At 42.7% G+C, this 18,470-nt stretch overlaps 1 long non-coding RNA gene across 1 annotated transcript, besides 2 other annotated features; it reads right to left on the reverse strand.

Annotated features, from left to right (window-relative positions):
- Positions 1–548: 548 nt before the first annotated feature.
- On the reverse strand, positions 549–12,372 carry LOC107984486 (uncharacterized). The gene is made up of 3 exons (XR_001749010.1): positions 11,715–12,372; positions 1,669–1,752; positions 549–768 (listed from the first exon to the last, which is right to left on the reverse strand). It is a non-coding gene; the product is annotated as an uncharacterized LOC107984486 (long non-coding RNA).
- Positions 8,857–8,916: an enhancer, noted in NCBI's record as "active region_6014". NCBI's record gives its function as "activates an Ori minimal core promoter by ATAC-STARR-seq in GM12878 lymphoblastoid cells {active_cell/tissue: GM12878}" and the evidence as "EXISTENCE:reporter gene assay evidence [ECO:0000049][PMID:35858748]".
- Positions 10,471–10,972: an enhancer, noted in NCBI's record as "NANOG hESC enhancer chr12:12737991-12738492 (GRCh37/hg19 assembly coordinates)". NCBI's record gives its function as "activates a minimal SCP1, AML or CMV promoter by ChIP-STARR-seq in naive H9 embryonic stem cells {active_cell/tissue: H9 hESC(naive)}" and the evidence as "EXISTENCE:reporter gene assay evidence [ECO:0000049][PMID:30033119]".
- Positions 12,373–18,470: the final 6,098 nt, after the last annotated feature.

Below are 18,470 nucleotides of genomic sequence, written 5' to 3' on the forward strand. Positions count from 1 at the left end.
GAGGGTTTCACCATGTTGGCCAGGCTGGTCTCGAACTGCTGACCTCAGGCGATCTACCCGGCTCAGCCTCCCAAAGGGCTGGGATTACAGGCATGAGCCCCTGCACCCGGCCGTATGAACCATTTCTTTAGGTGAGTTTTGCTTCTTTTTATCTGACCCTGAAGAAAATAATTGGAATGAATACAGTAATTCCCTTCCCCTTCCCCTTTCCCTTTCTTTTCGACAGGGTCTCACTCTGTCACCCAGGCTGGAACACAGTGGCACCTTCATGGCTCACTGCAGCCTCAACCTTCTGGACTCAAGTGGTCCTCTTGCCCTCTGAGTAGCTGGGACTACAGGCATGTGCCACCATGCCCAGCTAATTTTTGTTTGTTTGTTTGTTTTGTAGAGACAGAGTCTTGCTTTGTTGCCCAGGCTTGTCTAGAACTCCTGCACTCAAGCAATCCTCCTGCCTCGGCCTCCCAAAGTGTTGAGATTACAGGCATGAACCACTGTGCTTGGCTTCCTTTTTTTCTGATATAAATAATCTGTTTTTTAAAATTGCTGTTTTTGAAGGCCAGAGATTTTTTAATGTTTTTTTCATTTTCTGAGTAAACATATGTCTCAGTGTACTAAGTTTTTAAATTCACAGTGGCTTTCTGGACTAACAGTGACAACATTCAGTCACAACATTCATGTTTATAAATGTAAACATTTACCTTAGGAACAGTCTTTAACCAGTAACTGAACCTCTTGTTCAATGTTGGTTAAACAGCAAGATGGGATATTCTGACCAAAAAGCAGAAAACCGATTTTAATTAAAAATACTTTTAAAGTTTATGTAGTCAATTTTCTATTGTCTTGACACAAAAGATCTATACCTCTAGTTTAGGTCACTGAGTTTTAAGAATATCTCGGCTGGGCACAGTGGCTCATGCCTGTAATCCCAGCACTTTGGGAGGCTGAAGCAGGCAGATCGCAAGGTCAGGAGTTCAAGACCAGCCTGGCCAACATGGTGAAACCCCATCTCTACTAAAAATACAAAAATTAACTGGGTGTGGTGGTGGATGCCTGTAATCCCAGCTACTCGAGAGGCTGAGGCAGGATAACTGCTTGAACCCAGGAGGCCAAGGTTACAGTGACCAAGATCACACCACTGTACTCCAGCCTGGGTGACAGAGCGAGGCTCCGTCTTGGGGAAAAAAAAAAAAAAAAAATCTCAAACCACTATAGTGGTTTACTATATTTCTAGTTACTATAAAGAAACTGGAAATGTAATGGATTTGAAAATAAACTATCATCATGTCAAATCAAATACACCACAGGCAGCTCTTTTGTACAAGGAATATTCTGGGCTTTTAACTCTCATAACCCTCAAGAGTTAGATATTATTATTTTGTATTTTACAGTGGAGGAAACTGAGGCTGAGAAAAGTTAAAGAGTTTGCTCAAAGACAAATAGCTAGTAGCAAGTTAGGACTCGAACCCAAGTTTTCCCAAAAGGAGCTTTTGTTGAGAAGATAAACAAAAGTACAAATATAAGTTACCACCAACAAAAATTACCACAAACTTAGTTAAAAATAACATTATAGGAAATGCCACTATATTAGAAAGCACTTCTGTGATTACTGGTAAAACGTATCATTCAGATATGAGCTACAAAAGTTAGAAAAAATGAGAACTTGCTGACCTGGGGCAGAAGATTCAGCCGGCAACAAATTCCAGCTTCACCACACACTGGCTGTGTGGCTTGAGGGAAACATAGTCTCCTCATCTGCAAAATGAAGATAACATCAACCTTCCAGAGTTATTGTGAGGGTTACATGAAGTACCAAGTAAAGCTCCAAGTAGAGGGCCTAGCACACATAGTAAACACTACATACTGACTCCTTCCTTCTTAGGAAAGGCTCTCCTTGGGTCTAAGACCTTGAACAATAGATTGAGTTGGGATATTGAAAGAGAATGGGGAAGCTCATTTCAGGAAGAAAAAAGAAGCAGAAGTCAGAGATACAGCAGGAAAAATTGGGTTTAAAATAGTTTACCTGATGCAGAACATTTAAATTTAAGGGTATATAATAAGCCTGGAAAGCAGTTTGGGCCAAATTACATCAGGCCTCAGTCAAAGATTTTAGACTTTATATTATAAGTAGCAGGGAATGACGGAGAGTTTGGTTCCTTTGTTTACATTATGCTTTATTGACCTTATGTTTTATTATAAAGCAATACATGTTCATTGTAGAAAGTCTGTAAATTGGCCGGGCGCAGTGGCTCATGCCTGTAATCCCAGCACTTTGGGAGGCAGAGGTGGGCAGATCACTTGAGGCTAGGAGTTTCAGACCAGCTTGGCTAAAATGGCGAAACCCTGTCTCTACTTTAAAAAATTAAAATTTAGCCGGGCGTGGTGGCGCAGGCCAAGATTGTGCCACTGCACTCCAGCCTGGGCAACAGAGCAAGAGACTCTGTCACAACAACAACAAAAAAAAAAAAAAGAAAAAAGAAAAAAAAAATCTGTAAATTACAGAGAAGTGTGAAGAAAAATATACAAAACACCTTATTCAATAGTTACCTTGAGAGATAAATTTTTTTATTGTTTTATCCTTTGGTGGAATTTTTTTTCTTTTTTCAGTAGCTTTACTGAGGCATAATTGACAAATAGAAATTATATAATTCAAAGCATACAGTACGAATATTTGATATACATATACATTGTGAAATGATTACCACAATCAAATTAATTAACACATCTTTCCCCACACACAGTTACTATTTTCCTTTGGTAGTATTTTGATTGAGTTTTTTTTTTCCACGTACATTTGTTATTTTAATACTAATAATAAAATGTATAAGTACATGGAAAACATTAAACACATTTACATAACTGTTCTTTTTATAAGAAGATTTGCCTCTCAAAAAAGGATTTGCATATTTGAGATGGTCAGATGGCCAGTGAGAGTTCCCCAAGGCTAGAACCACACATTTTATAGGGTACAATGGTTGCTAATCTTTATATGCATCTTGGCCTATCATTTCAACATATCGTTGTAACACATTTTTCTTTTATTTTTAATATAGCTAAATTATTTAATTTCTTTAAAAAATATTGCTATCATAACACTCTCCAAAGATTACCTCTGGGGACATTTGGGTGTATCTTTTTCAGTTTGAAGGTTTGAACTTGAAGATAGATGGAATAAAAGTGGGACTTTAGGTGGCTTACTCTGACCAAAGCAAATTAGAAAGATGCGAGGAAGGAGATTATAGAACAAGGAAGACCATATTGGGCTATGGTAGCAATTCAGGCATAGGTCAATAGGTCAAAAACGGGCAAGACTGGTACAGTGACAATGGACATGGAAAGAAAGCAACAAACACAAGTAACAATACAGAGGGAGAATTGACAGGACTTGGTGACTCACGAGCTATGGAGGGTGAAGGAGATGAGTAATGAAAGATGATGCTAAGGTGTCACCTTTGGCAATTTATATAAATTTCAATTTCCTCATCTATAAAATGGGGTTAACAATTGTACCTTCCTCATAGGGTTATTGGGAGGATTAAATGGATGACATCTAAAATGCTTAGCACAAAAACAGGAATGCATTCTTAGCCAATAGTGGCTGTCATAGTTTTTATAGATGTTGAATCTACATGGCTGGGTTTAAGAATAATGAAATTCTTAAATAGGAAAGTCAGGAGAAAGGTCTGATTGAGGTAGAGAGGTAGAGTTGAGCTATAGTTTAGACATGTCAGATTTAGGTTTATGGTGGACAGTTGATTAAAAATGTTCAGCAAGAAGCCACCACTGGCAGTGATGTTTGACAGTGGGTACATTTTAGGAAGACTTCATGTTCATGAGAAGCAGATACCTGGAGGGTGGATACCGCTGCACAATGTCCACATGTCTGCCCGTAACCTCCACTTAACGATCAGAAATTACCTGATCTAATAAGCAATCTCTACATATCGTACACTTCCCGGCTGAGTGGCTCTGGTAGGACAGATACCAAAGTAGTGAAGCATTTAAAGGTTTTGGAACCAGACAGATCTGTTTGAATCCCGACTCTTCCATTTACTGTTGTCTAATTGCAGGAAAAATAATTTTCTTAGCTTCACGTTTTCTTATTTACAAAATGGAGTAATAAAAATTTCTACCTCATAGCATTGATGGGAGAATTAAATGAGACTATTTAAAATAAGGTCAGGCATGGTGGCTCACACCTGTAATCCCAGCAATTTGGGAGGCTGAGGCGGGCAGATTACCTGAGGTTAAGAGCTCAAGACCAGCCTGGCCAACATGGTGAAACCCCGTCTCTACTAAAAATACAAAAATATGAACGGGGCCTGGTCTTGGGCACCTGTAACCCCAGCTACTCAGAAGGCTGAGGCAGGAGAATCGCTTGAACCCAAGAGGCAGAGGTTGCAGTGAGCAGAGAACATACCATTGCACTCCAGCCTGGGTGACAAGAGTGAAACTCCGTCTCAAAATAAATAAATAAATAAATAATAAAACATAAAAATACCAAGTTGTTTTGTTTTGTTTTGTTTTGTTTTGTTTTGTTTTGAACAGGGTCTCACTCTGTTTCCCAGGCTGGAATGCAGTGGTACCATCACGGCTCACGGCAGCCTCAACCTATCCCAGGCTCACGTGATCCTCCACCTCAGCCTCCTGAAGTAGCTGGGACCACAGGCGCTTGCCACTAATAAACTGTTAATTGTTGTACTTTTTGTAGAGACGGGGTTTTTGTCTTATTGCCCAGGCTAGTCTTGAACTCCTGGGCTCAATCAATCTGCCCGCCTCAGTCTCCCAAAGTGCTCAGCCACTGCACCTGGCCATAAATACCAAGTATTGCTATTAATCATGCCTCTCCTTGAGGTTAATAGTTCGTTTATATTTCCTCTCCATTCTTTACGGTGTCAAACATGAGAGGCACTCTCTGCTAACTGCTGATCACTGTGCCTCCACAACTTTGGTTTTCAGCCTCTCCCCATGGCTCAGTTCTTTTTGGAACTTTGTAACTCATAGTTTCGTGAAATTCCAGAATGCCAAACAGCATCTTTGGAGGAAGATGGTCTGTTAGTCTTTGTTTGGAGAGAACTTCTGTATTAGTTTCCTATCACTGCTTAAACAAATTACCACAAACTTAGTGACTGAAAACAACACAAATGTATTGTCTCACAGTTCTGTAATTCAGAAGTACAAAATGGTCTCCCTAATAAAATCAAGGTGTCAGCAGGGCTGCATTCTTTTCTGGAGGCTCTAGGGGATAATCCATTCCCTCACCCTTTTAAGTTTCTAGAGGCCACTTGCATTCCTTGGCTCATGGCCTTCTTCCTCCATCTTCAAAACCAGCAATAGCAGCTTGAGTTCTTTTCACCTCATCAACCATCCCTCTGGTTCACTTCTGCCTCCCTCATCTCCTATTAAAGACCCTTGTGATTATATTGGGTCCACCTGGATAATCCAGAATGCTCTCCCTATGTTAAGATCTGCTAACTAGCAACCTTAATTTCCTTTGCAACTTTATCTCTCTTGCCATGTAACATAACATAGGACAGGTTTTGAGAATTTTGATGTGAACATTTTGGGGGACCATCATTTTGCCTACCGTACCCTCCACAAAGAAAACTCCAGGGAGATTTGCCCCTGCTTTGTCTCTCTGTCTTGCAGGACCTAACTGATCCTCTAAATCATGAACCATCTATCACAATATGATAATTGCAATAATCACAATTGGGAGGCCTTTCATGATAATATTTTTCTTCTGGTCTAAGTCTGATTCTGTTCCATGCTTAAAGATTTATTTGTAGCTAAATACAATGACTGTTAACTAAAAATTCATAAAGAAATAGTGATCTTGGCCAGGCACAGTGGCTCACGCCTATAATCCCAGCACTTTGGGAGGCCGAGGTGGGTGGATCACGAGTTAAGGAGTTTAAGACCAGCCTGGCCAACATGGTGAAACTCCGTCTCTACTAAAAATACAAAAATTAGCCAGGTGTGGTGGCAGTCGCCTGTAATCCCAGCTACTCGGGAGGCTGAGGCAGAGAAAAAAAGAAATAATGATCTCAGGAAATCCTTTCCAGTATGGGGGAAAAAAAGGTTTATCATCAACCATTCACTTTTATAAATGATATGAATGTCCATTTCTTTTTTTCTTCAAGTCAGAGTCTTGCTCTTCTGTCACCCAGGCTAGAGTGCAGTGGCCCAAGTACAGCTCACAGTAGCCTCAACCTGCCAGACTCTAGCAATCCTCCTACTTCAGCCTCCCTAGTAGCTGGGACAACAGGCACTTACCACCATGTCCAGCTAATTTTCGTATTTATTTATTTATTTATTTATTTATTTATTTATTTATTTATTTATTTATTTGTAAAGAGAGGGTCTTACTGTGTTGCCCAGGCTAGTCTCAAACTTCTGGGCTCAAGTGATCCTCCTGCCTCAGCCTCCCAAAGTGCCAGGATTACAGGCATGAGCCACCACACCTGACTGAATGTGTATTTTATTTCTGAAACAAAACCACTACACATGATTGTTACCAATATGTTTCTATTTTTTTTTTTTTTAGCTGGGTATACCTGTAATACCTGTAGTCCCAGCTATTCAGGAGGCTGAGGTGGGAGGATCACCTGAGCCCAGGAGTTTGAGGCTGCAGTGAGCCATGGTTGTGCCACTGACGGCATGACAGAGTGAGAGTTTCTATTTTTTTAACAGAACCCCAACAGCGGTGCTTTCATTTTAGATCCAATTGATGATTAATGGACGGCAGAGTATGTCTTAAGAAAGACAGGTGAAAAATATCAGGTTGCAAAGCAAAGCACGTAAATATACCAAAGCCAGAATTTTTTTTATTTTTGTAAGGGGTAAAAGGCCATGAGTACTATTTTAGGAGTACCAAAAGTTCAAACACTGTAGTTGGAAATGGATAAAACCTCAATACCTTTGAATCTGACACTGAAATTTAGTATTTCTATCTTTTAAGTTCTTTTATCTCAAGGTATATAAAAGTGCTCCAAATAAATATGTCCAAATCTTGGGATTTTCTTTTTTTTTGACATGGAGTTTCACTCTTGTTGCCCAGGCTGGAGTGCAATGGCGTGATCTCGGCTCACCACAACTTCTGCCCCCTGAGTTCAAGCAATTCTCCTGCCTCAGGCTCCCAAGTAGCTGGGATTACAGGCATGCACCACCACGCCCGGCTAATTTTGTATTTGTAGTAGAGACAGGGTTTCTCCATGTTGGTCAGGCTGGTCTCGAACTCCCGACCTCAGGTGATCTGTCTGCCTTGGCCTCCCAAAGTGCTGGGATTACAGGCATGAGCCACCACGTCTGGTGAGCATTAAAAATTTTGTTATAAATTTCAGCATTAAAAAATGTGTTAATGGTTGATCCTAATTTTCTAGTGGGTAGGAGGTTAGCTTTAGTACCTGATTGAAAGAAAACAGCTTGAAAAACAGGAGAGGCTAGCACTAAATTGTTTTATGACTTTGGGCAGGAGACTCAAGAGAAGGAAAATAGAGAGCCCAACAGGTATTGAGCATCTATTATTGCCAAGCACTGTGTTTGCATATATTATTTCCCTGAGTTTTTACAACATTTCCTGTGGGTCGCCATTGTTACACTTTAAAGATGAGGAAATCAAGGCTCTGAGATGTTAACAGACTCTCCCACAATCGCACAGCTAAAGGGTAACAGCACTGGGATTAGAGTCCAGTACTGCCTAACTCCAAAGCCCATGCATATGCTTTCCACCACCCTCAGCTGCTCTTGCCTTGTTTCCTCATCTACAAAACAAGGGAGTTCAGTCAGATAATCTCTGATGCCCCTCAAGTTCTACCTGCATGGCCTTTGTGGTTGGGAGGAGAAAGGGGAATCAGGGCAGGGTCTCCGGCACTGTGCTGAGTGGTCTTCTTCTGAGTGGGAAAGCAATGAAACCACGTGTCTTACTGGTGCTGTACTGACTCCCTGTCCTGTGAAAGAAGGCTGCTGCTGCTGGCAACACTGCAAATGACGATGGGACTCCCAGGCCCACAGCCCTCAAAAGGAAGTGAGTCTTCTCATTCTCCTTTGCAGGGCCACTTTTTATAAATTTACATTTCCAAAACCAAATCCATCAACATTTACTGTTGAGAATTTTATTGTGCCCAACACTGAGTTAAATGGTATTGCAAGGCTCTATATACAATAGCAAGGAAGTATAAGATGTGGTCTGTATTCTCAGGAACTTACAACTAGCTGGGAGAACACAACACACAAAGCAATTTTTGAAGGACACTGTATAATGCAGGACTGAATTGTGTAGTCCAGATGATATGTACTACAGGAGTGCAGAGAAATGGGCGTTCAGTGGGGGCTACAGCACCCGTGAGAACTGGAGCAGAGACAACGTTATTCACCTTGCATTCTTGACTAGTCTTTCTTGGCCTTTTCTGTAATTGTGAAACCCTGGTATGACTCTTTGACATAGTTCAAACATTCTCTGCTTTGCAGGCTGCAGTGATGTCCTTCATATCACGTCATCTTAGTGCCACTTCATCTTTATTGGCATGTGTGGGAGGAACAAAACCCCAGTGGTATGCAAACACCGTCATGGGGACTTGCTTCAAGCCATGGGAAGTTTCACGCAAAGCCAGTTTCTCAGTAGGGCAAATGTTGTGTAAAAGTACAAGAAGTTTGAGAAACTAGTTAAAGGCAAAGCCTGTCACAGCAAGAATGAGATTTGAATGGGGACACTTTCCTGTCTGTGTCAGGGATGGTCTGATGGTCTACTCCCAGCCCCTCACCTTCGGAGCCCCTGTGCTTAAGTACTTCGCTGACAACATGGCCCAGAGGCGAAAGGACCTTGTCCAATGCAGCAGGAACTTCTTATTCCCAAACCCTCTGCCCACCCTCATAGGCCAGTCTTTTGATAAGAGGCTGTAGACCTGAAAAATTATTCTAGAATGTTGGATCTAATAGATTTAATAGTCACTATATATTTACTGCATGTTCTGAAACAAGGCTGGATTGAGGACTGTTTTCATTTGAGCTGAAGACACAAAATGAATATACAGGAAACAGCAGCTAAGTGTACCTGACAGATTAATGGCATCAAGTGCTAAGCCAAGGGTAATTGGTTCAGAAAAATGAGACACTGATAAGTACAGAAGTAATGAGGGAAAGTGTCACCAAGCCAACGTTTAGGAGAGACCTTAAAAAATGGAAAGAATCTGGATTGGCAGGAAAGAGAAATTATGACATTCTAGAAATGATATAGTACCTACTATTTCATGTGATGAATTATAAATTATAATAGGAAACCATTATCAAAGGCAAGAAAAGTGAAAGATATATTCATGGAAAACCAAAGCAGTCAGCCTGTCTGGAGGAAGGGTGGCATAAGAATGTACATAGCAAAAATTAATGGGAAGTTAAGATCATCTGAATAAGATGAATTCATCAACATACTTAGGCTGGGCACGGTGGCTCATGCCTATAATCCCAGCACTTTGGGAGGCTGAAGTGGGTGGATCGCTTGAGCCCAAAAATTCAAGACTAGCCTGAGAAACACAGTGAGACCCTTTCTCTACAAAAATACAAAACAATTTAGCGGGGTGTGAAGGTGTGCGCCTATAGTCCCAGGGAGTATAGTACTTGGGAGGCTGAGGTGGAAGGACAGCTTGATCCTGGGAGGTCGAGGCTGCAAGTGAGCTATGATCACTGCACACCAGTGTCGGTGACAGAGTGAGACACTGTCTCACACAAACAAACTTACCAAACATATATCAAGTGCTGATTACACTAGGTCTCTTGCTGCATAATTATAATAGTTTACACCTATTAAAGCTTACAATGTGCCTTGCACTGTGTTAAAGTGCTTTACATATATTATCTCATTTAATTGTCACGACAGACCTATGAGGTATATGTTACCTCATAGGTAATGTATCCATTTTACAGATGAAACTGATGAAACCCAGAGAGGCTAAGGAACTTGCTTCAGGTCACATAGTTACTGAGTGGGAAAGCCTAGTATTGAACCAAGTAAGTCAGCCCAAACACGGGTTCCGAGCACAATGCTAAACTGTCTCCACAGATATTACTACAATCTCATAAACTTCCCTATGACATAGGTATTATCACCCCAGTTTTGCAAATGGGGATTCAAGGTTTCGAGAGTCAGTGAATTGCCCAAGGTCATTCTGCTGAGTACGGGGCTAGGATTTGAAAGCAGATCCACTAACTCCAAGTCCATTAAACTTCCCATTACAATATAGCCACCTGGCAGAAATATTGTCTAGTATGAGATCAGATTAGAGGAAATTTTGACAGCAAAGAAGAGCAAGAAGTCTATATGAATAGGGAAGAACTTCAGGGTTTTGAATAGACATGATTTGATTAATGAAGGTAGTCTAGGTCTGGCCTCAGTCTTTCACAGGTAATTGAATCAGGGAAAGGGTAGACATGAACAGTAGATGATATTAGAGGAAGTAAGGACCTAGAAATGGGCATAGGAGAGAGGGAATGACAGAAACAAGATCAATATTTGAAGGAAAACCTGATTGTTCTAGGGGCTGAACAGCTGAGAGTGATGAAAGAGGAGATCAAATCAAAGAGGAATTTGCTTCTCTATATCTAAATAACTTCATGGACTATTGACAGGGACTGACAGTTTATATGAGCAGCTGATTTGTGGCAAAAAAAAAAAAAAAAAAAGAAGAAGGTTGTTTTTGGACATGTTGCAATCTGCTTGGCAGAACAATGACCTGCACATTCCAGAGGAAATGGCCAGTAGGCAGTCAGGGAAATGGGATTGGAGCTCAGGTAGAGAGCAGAAGCTGTCAATAGTATCTGACAAATAAGCTCTGCAAGGACCACTGAAGGGGCAGACAAGTCACATCCCAAGAAAAATAGGGTTTTTTTTTAATAATCAGAATGCGCCAGGAGTCAGCAGAGAACCAAAATGCACTATAATGAAAGAGATCAGGCCCAAGGGCAAGCCACAGGTCAAGATAAGTGGTTAGGGACAATGCAGAGATAAAAATTAAAGGGATGCAGCAGCAAATCTGATCTCATCAGTATCAAGGATAAATGACCACAGAATAATTTCCTGTCCTGTTTCTGGTATTTTGGGGTATTCCCCTATTGCAGGAGCCAAATCCACTTAACTGGATGACGCCCTCAGAATGACCCTGCAGAACAACCAGGAATCTTCCTAGCAGGGAGTACACAGTCTACATCAGCACAGGGAGAGAATGAAAGTTATCAAAAAGGGCCTCTCCACTGAATTGTACATGTAAAAATGGCTAAAATGGTAAATGACATTTATGTAGATTTTACCAAAATTTAAAAGGGAGTCTATCTCTTGAAAAGATAAACATCTACGGATTCCCCCAAAATCTCCAAAAGTTCACCTAATTACCATCTCCTGGACTTCCCCTGTTTGTTAAAGATCTTGATTTCCTTGCTTAAGTTGGTGGCTATGGTGCTAAAGGGATGAAGATACTTAAGAAACCATGGAGGCTGCAGCTACCTGGTGCCCTTGTCCCTTCCAGTCTGGGAAGGGAATGGGATAGTTGGTTGTGGTCAGTTTGCTGTGGAAACTCCTCTTCTGGCCTTTCTGCTCCCTCTGTCCTTTTTTCAGAACTTTGAGAACATGACACATTGGCCAATGCTCCACCCTCTGTGACCTCTTCTGCTTGACACAATTAAGAAAATGAGCCATAGAGCAACTCAGCCAACACCTGGAAGGGACTTACCTGAGACAGGAACCTGAGAGTCCTGTAACTTCAGTTCTTGCTCACTGCCCTGTGCATATGGCCTTAGAATCCTAGGATCCTCTTTCTGACTTTACAGAGATCACCTCCAAGCCTATATCGAATTCCTTTCCTGATCAATATATAATGTGTTCTTAGTTCAGGGGGCCTTCACAAACCAGGGCAACCCAAAGGTGCTCAGCTCCTACGCTCTTGGAAGTAGCAAGGTGGGGCTCCTCTTCATCTTGTAAGTAAGGAAACAGTGGCCCAGGATCAGTTCAATGGCTTGCCCACGGGCATATACCTGGCTAATTGCAGAAGGGGAAGGAGATGCAGGCCTTCTGATCCACTCTCCAAATCTCTGTTAGTTAGACAAAGAGATCCCAGCTGAAATATTTGGAATGCTATTTTTACTGAAGCTTTGCTTTCCCCCAGATTTAGTCTCTTTTACTGCCTTTTTCTCAAAACATATTTAAACTGCTTGGAAATGCCAATTAGGGGTCTAAAATAGAATGATAACTGCACCGATCAATTGGGGAAGCTCACTGGTTACCCACAAAACCATCACAGACCGCCTATTATGCTGTGGCTAAAACTCGGATCCATGCCTTCCCGCAGCCTCATATGGCAGAGCACCCCAGTCCCTCCTGTCGTTGCCCCATGTTGGCCTTGATGTCTGCCTCTGAAATCCTTGATTACCAACGTCAACAGGCAATTGGCCAGCTTAGGAGGGGCCTTCCAAGGCTATGGCAAGATAGAAGAATGACAGTACAGCTCATCATAAACGTATTTATCAGGCAAACTTCAGGAAAAACTGGTTTCTCAGGCTTGCCACCTGAAGCAAAATAGTTCTGGGTGAAGCTTGACATGGTGTATATCTGTGGGTCAGGTCAGCACACACACAGAAAAAGAATCTTTTTTGTTTTCTCTTTGGAGATTATCCAAACTATAAAGTTAACCAGAGAAATGAATTATCTGTTTTAGTCAAGCCTATATTTCTTTCCAATGGTCATTTTCTGGAAATGCAGGAATTCAAGTTTAGAACTTCTAAGTGATAGAGTCATATACTCATAAAATAGTAGCACTGTATGGGACCCGGAAATTGTCTAATCTAGCGTCTAATTTTGCAGATAAGAAAGCTGAAGTTTCCCATTATTAAATGAATATTGTACTTCCATGCAGGCAGAGATTGCACTCATTTCTTTACAAGCTGAAATTACACTGTTGGCTCCCATGGCACTGGCAGCCAGCCTAAATAAAACCCATAATATTTTTCATATAAACTGCTCAGCTAGATTTTCCGCATTCCAGGTTTATACATAAATTTCTTAACATTTTGTTCAGGAGTTTACATTTTCCCTTTCTAATTTTACTAGTTTAAACTCTATATGCCAGTCTATGATTTGAATTCTGGCCCGGTCTTAAGCCTTATAAGTACTTGAGAAAGGGCAAGATCATTTGCTAGTGTGCACTTTACAGTGTACCTGTCTTTATTTATTTTTGTATTTATTTACTTATTTATTATGTTTTGAGACAAGGTCTCACTGTATCACCCAGGCTGGAGTGCAGTGGCACCATCATGGCTCACTGTAGCCTCAACCTCCTGGGCTCAAGCAATCCTCCTGCCTCACCCTCCCAGGTAGCTGGGACCACAGGCACATGCCACCATGCATGTAGAAAAATTTAAATATTTCTAAAATGTTGCCCAGGCTGGTCTGAAACTCCTGGGCTCAGGTGATCCTCCCACCTCAGCCTCTCTCCCAAAGTGCTGGCATGACAGGCATGAGCCACAGTGCCCGGCTCCCCTACAACTTCACTTCTTGCTCACTGCCCTGTGTGTATGCCCTTACAGTCCTAGGATCCTCCTTCTGACTTTACAGAGATCACTTCCAAGTCTATATCCAATTCCTTTCCTGATCAATATATAACATGTTCTTAGGTCAGGGGGCCTCCACAAAGCAGGACAACCCAAAGGTGCTCCTGCACTTAGCTATTAGGACAATAGCTAAGTTGTCCTAAATAAAATGCTATTTATGAAAAGCATTTAACTTAGGTTTCCCCCACCTAGTTTTGTCCTAATTTAATTCCTCAAGGAGGTTTGGTAACTTTTCCTCCCTTCTTACATGAAGGAGCTCTAAAAGGGGTCTTTCCTCTATAAGGGAGAAGAAACTTTCGTAGCTTGTCTCCTACCAGAAGTAGAAGTGACTGGAGTAATGTGGTAAAAGGCTACCCTCTAAACTCCAGAGTCAGAAGAACCCTTTCTTTTTTTTTTTTTTTTGAGACACAGCCTTGCTATGAGGCCCAGTCTGGAGTGCAATGATGCTATCTCGGCACTCACTGCAACCTCTGCCTCCCAGGTTCAAGCAATTCTTCTGCCCCAGGCTCCTGAGTAGCTGGGACTACAGGCACACACCACCAGGCCCAGCTAATTTTTTTGTATTTTTAGTAGAGATAGGGTTTCACCATATTGGCCAGACTGGTCTCAAACTCATGACCTCAAGTGATCCACCTGCCTCGGCTTTCCAAAGTGCTGGGAATACAGGTGTGACCCACCACGCCCAGCCAAGAATCCTTTCTTATGTCCATGTTGATGTATAGGTTAGTAGTTTATCTTCCATCAGTTATGAAAACTGCAGGAGTCAAGAAATTTAGGAGTAGGGAGGAAAGAAAGGAAAGATTTCCTAATCTCTTCATACTCAAAAGGATATGTGCTATATGAAAAAGGAGAATTGAGTGAAATATCTGTGATTACTTTATATATTGTAAGTAGCCTAGAAACCTAAGAATTATACCTGACTTCTTCCTTCCCTTCACCCCCCATATCTAATAACAAGAATCACTAACACTTATCAAGTACTTACTGTGTGCCAGGTACTGTGCTGAGCATTTTATAAGCCTGATTAATTGAATCCTCAAAACAATTAGGATTTTAAGATGAGAAGATTGGCACTTTTAAGAGGTTACATTACTTGCTTGAACTCATATATCAAAGATTGATGGAGCCAGATTACCACCCAAATTATTGTGACTCCAGAGCCCAAAAGCTTACCCACAATAAATATTGTCCTCTAGGAGAGCCATCAGACCATGATACAGGTTTGTCCCTTATGAGACATAGAAGGAAGAATGAAAGGAAGTTCAAGAGGGAGAAAGATGCTGGGTAGAAGGAAGGACAAAGGAAGGTTGGTGGGTTGTGCGGCAGGAAGGTTAGGTGGAGGGTTGGTGGGTTGTGTGGAAGGAAGGTTAGGTGGAGGGTTGGTGGGTTGTGCGGCAGGAAGGTTAGGTGGAGGGTTGGTGGGTTGTGGGGAAGGAAGGTTACCTGGAGGGTTGGTGGGTTGTGTGGAAGGAAGGTTAGGAGGAAGGTTGGTGGGTTTCGTGGAAGGAAGGTTAGGAGGAAGGTTAGTGGGTTGTGCGGAAGGAAGGTTAGGTGGAGGGTTGGTGGGTTGTGTGGAAGGTTGGTGGGTTGTGTGGAAGGAAGTTTAGGAGGAAGGTTGGTGGGTTGTGTGGAAGGAAGGTTAGCTGGAAGGTTGGTGGGTTGTGTGGAAAGAAAGTTAGGTGGAGGGTTGGTGGGTTGTGCAGAAGGAAGGTTAGGTGGAGGGTTGGTGGGTTGTGCGGCAGGAAGGTTAGGTGGAGGGTTGGTGGGTTGTGGGGAAGGAAGGTTAGGTGGAAGGTTGGTGGGTTGTGTGGAAGGAAGCTTAGGTGGAGGGTTGGTGGGTTGTGTGGAAGGTTGGTGGGTTGTGTGGAAGGAAGGTTAGGAGGAAGGTTGGTGGGTTATGTGGAAGGAAGGTTAGGAGAAAGGTTGGTGGGTTGTGCAGAAGGAAGGTTAGGTGGAGGGTTGGTGGGTTGTGTGGAAGGTTGGTGGGTTGTGTGGAAGGAAGGTTAGGAGGAAGGTTGGTGGGTTGTGTGAAAGGAAGGTTAGGTGGAACGTTGGTGGGTTGTGTGGGAGGAAGGTTAGGAGGAAGGTTGGTGGGTTGTGCGGAAGGAAGGTTAGGTGGAGGTTTGGTGGGTTGTGTGGAAGGTTGGTGGGTTGTGTGGAAGGAAGGTTAGGAGGAAGGTTGGTGGGTTGTATGGAAGGAAGGTTAGGAGGAAGATTGGTGGGTTGTGTGGAAGGAAGTTTGGTGGAAGGTTGGTGGGTTGTGTGGAAGGAAGGTTAGGAGGAAGGTTGGTGGGTTGTGTGGAAGGAAGGTTAGGAGGAAGGTTGGTGGGTTGTGTGGAAGGAAGGTTAGGTGGAGGGTTGGTGGGTTGTGTGGAAGGAAGGTTAGGTGGAGGGTTGGTGGGTTGTGTGGAAGGAAGGTTAGGTGGAGGGTTGGTGGGTTGTGTGGAAGGAAGGTTAGGTGGAGGGTTGGTGGGTTGTGTGGAAGGAAGGTTAGGTGGAGGGTTGGTGGGTTGTGTGGAAGGAAGTTTGGGTGGAGGAATCTTAGACTGCTGTGCAGTATTAAGAAAGTTCAGCAAGGACAATGTAACATCTTGGAGCTAAAGTTGCCCATTAGAGGGGTCCCACATTCCCCAGGAATGGGCCTGCCTTAATATTCCTGTTGCACTCAGTCATGGAGTAGCCTTCGAGAAGCATGAGCTGAGCAGGAAGCCGTGATGGATTTCAGAATGTAGAAGTTGGGGCTGTAAGTCAATTATGAGGTGCATTTCTTTGGTAACATCTTACATCACACTGTCTTTTCAAGCAAATCTTTTAGCTTTGTCTTCAACAAATGTCTCCACCTACTGCCCTAGTTCAAGCCTCTGTCACCATTCACCTAGACAATTCCAAAAAATGTTTTGTTTCCCTACTTCTAGTCCTAATACCCTTACAATGATTTCCCACAATGCTATAAGGATGAACTTTATGATACATAAATGCAACTGTGTCATAATTCGGCTTAAGAATCTAGGTGGATGCCAGGCCGGGTGACTCACGCCTGTAGTCCCAGCACTTTGGGAGGCCAAGGTAGGCAGATTGCCTGAGATCAGGAGTTCAAGACCAGCCTGGCTAACATGGTGAAACCCCATCTCTAGTAAAAATACGAAAATGGCCGGGTGCGGTGGCTCATGCTTGTAATCCCAGCACTTTGGGAGGCCGAGGCGGATGGATCACGAGGTCAGGAGATCGAGACCATCCTGGCTAACACAGTGAAACCCCGTCTCTACTAAAAATACAAAAAATTAGCTGGGCATGGCGGCATGCGCCTGTAGTCCCAGCTACTTGGGAGGCTGAAGCAGGAGAATGGCGTGAACCTGGGAGGCAGAGCTTGCAGTGAGCGGAGATCGTGCCACTGCACTCCAGCCTGGGCGACAGAGCAAGACCCCATCTCAAAAAAAAAAAAAAATTAGCTGGGCATGGTGGCACACACCTGTATTCCCAGCTACTCAGGAGGCTGAGACAGGAGAATGGCTTCAACCTGGGAGGAGGAGCTTGCAGTGAGCCAAGATCACACCACTGCACTCCAGCCTGGGCAACAGAGTGAAATTCCATCTCAGAAAAAAAGAAGCTAGGTGGAGATGTCTTTTTGTCAATTGATAATGGGTACAATGATCCTTTAGCATATATATGACAACAATCTCACCAGCTTTCATTAACAAAGCTAATTTCAAAATTGCCTCATATTCTTTTTGGTAAGGTCATCATTATATTTATATATGGAGCTATCCCAGTTACCATATGTCATTTATCTGCTTAAAAACCTACAAATATTTACTAGGATAACACCTAAGCTTTTGATCACAGTAAACTAGGACTCCCAGGACCCAGCCACTTTCTACTTCTCCTGTATTATCCCTGCTACTCCTTTCCTGGCATTTAATACTCCAAAAATACAGTACCAAACTGTCTGTAGCTTCTGCTGTGCTGTACACATCATCTTCATGTCTTTGTTTATACTATTCCCTCTACTGGGACTGCCATTGTCTCTTTTCCTCCTCCCCTCCTTTCTGTGCCTATTTGAATGTCATTTTAGATTCAGCTCAGCTACCACCAGCTTTCCAAGACTCCAATACACCAACTCAAAGATCATTTAGTCCAAGCTCTGTCCCAATTCAGGAATCCTATGGAAACCGTTCAGGCAGAAGGTAATCCAAGGAAGAGCTCACAGTATCACAAGGCAACTAGCTGTATCTTTGGACTGTGCTCATGGTCACATAAAGCAATGACAGCCACTTCCCATTGTGTTTTATCAGGGAGTCTATCAGTTCCTGTTTCTCCATCTTTTCTGGGTGCAGTGGTTAGAATAATATACTCACTTGAAGCTTTAAGATGAACGGAGAGTTAGAAGTTGGGAGGCTGACTGAGAAATTCTCTTGGCAAATCCTATAGAGGTGGACCAAGTGTGGTGGCTCACACATGTAATCCCAGCACTTTGGGAGGCTGAGGTAGGTAGATTGCATGAGGTCAGGAGTTTGAGACCAGCCTGGCCAACAATGGTGAAACCTCGTCTCTACTAAAAAAAATAAAAATAAAAAAATAAAAAATTAGCTGGGTATGGTGGCGCGTGCCTGTAATCCCAGCTACTTGGGAGGCTGAGGCACAAGAGTCACTTGAAACTGGGAGGCAGAGGTTGCAGTGAGTGCAGATCGCACCACTGCACTCCAGCCAGGGCAATAGACTGAGGCTCTGTCTCAAAAGAAAAGAAAAGAAATCCTATAGAGGTGATCTCCTGCTTTGAACCTTCAGATCTTGGGTGGGGACAGAAGTGGGGAAGGTGAGGATGAGGAAGGACAGAGCTTGTCAACAAGCCATTGGTCATGTCCTTCTGCTTGTAATGTCTGAAC

The sequence above is a fragment of the Homo sapiens genome, chromosome 12, assembly GCF_000001405.40.
Source record: "Homo sapiens chromosome 12, GRCh38.p14 Primary Assembly".
Taxonomy (NCBI): domain Eukaryota; kingdom Metazoa; phylum Chordata; class Mammalia; order Primates; family Hominidae; genus Homo; species Homo sapiens.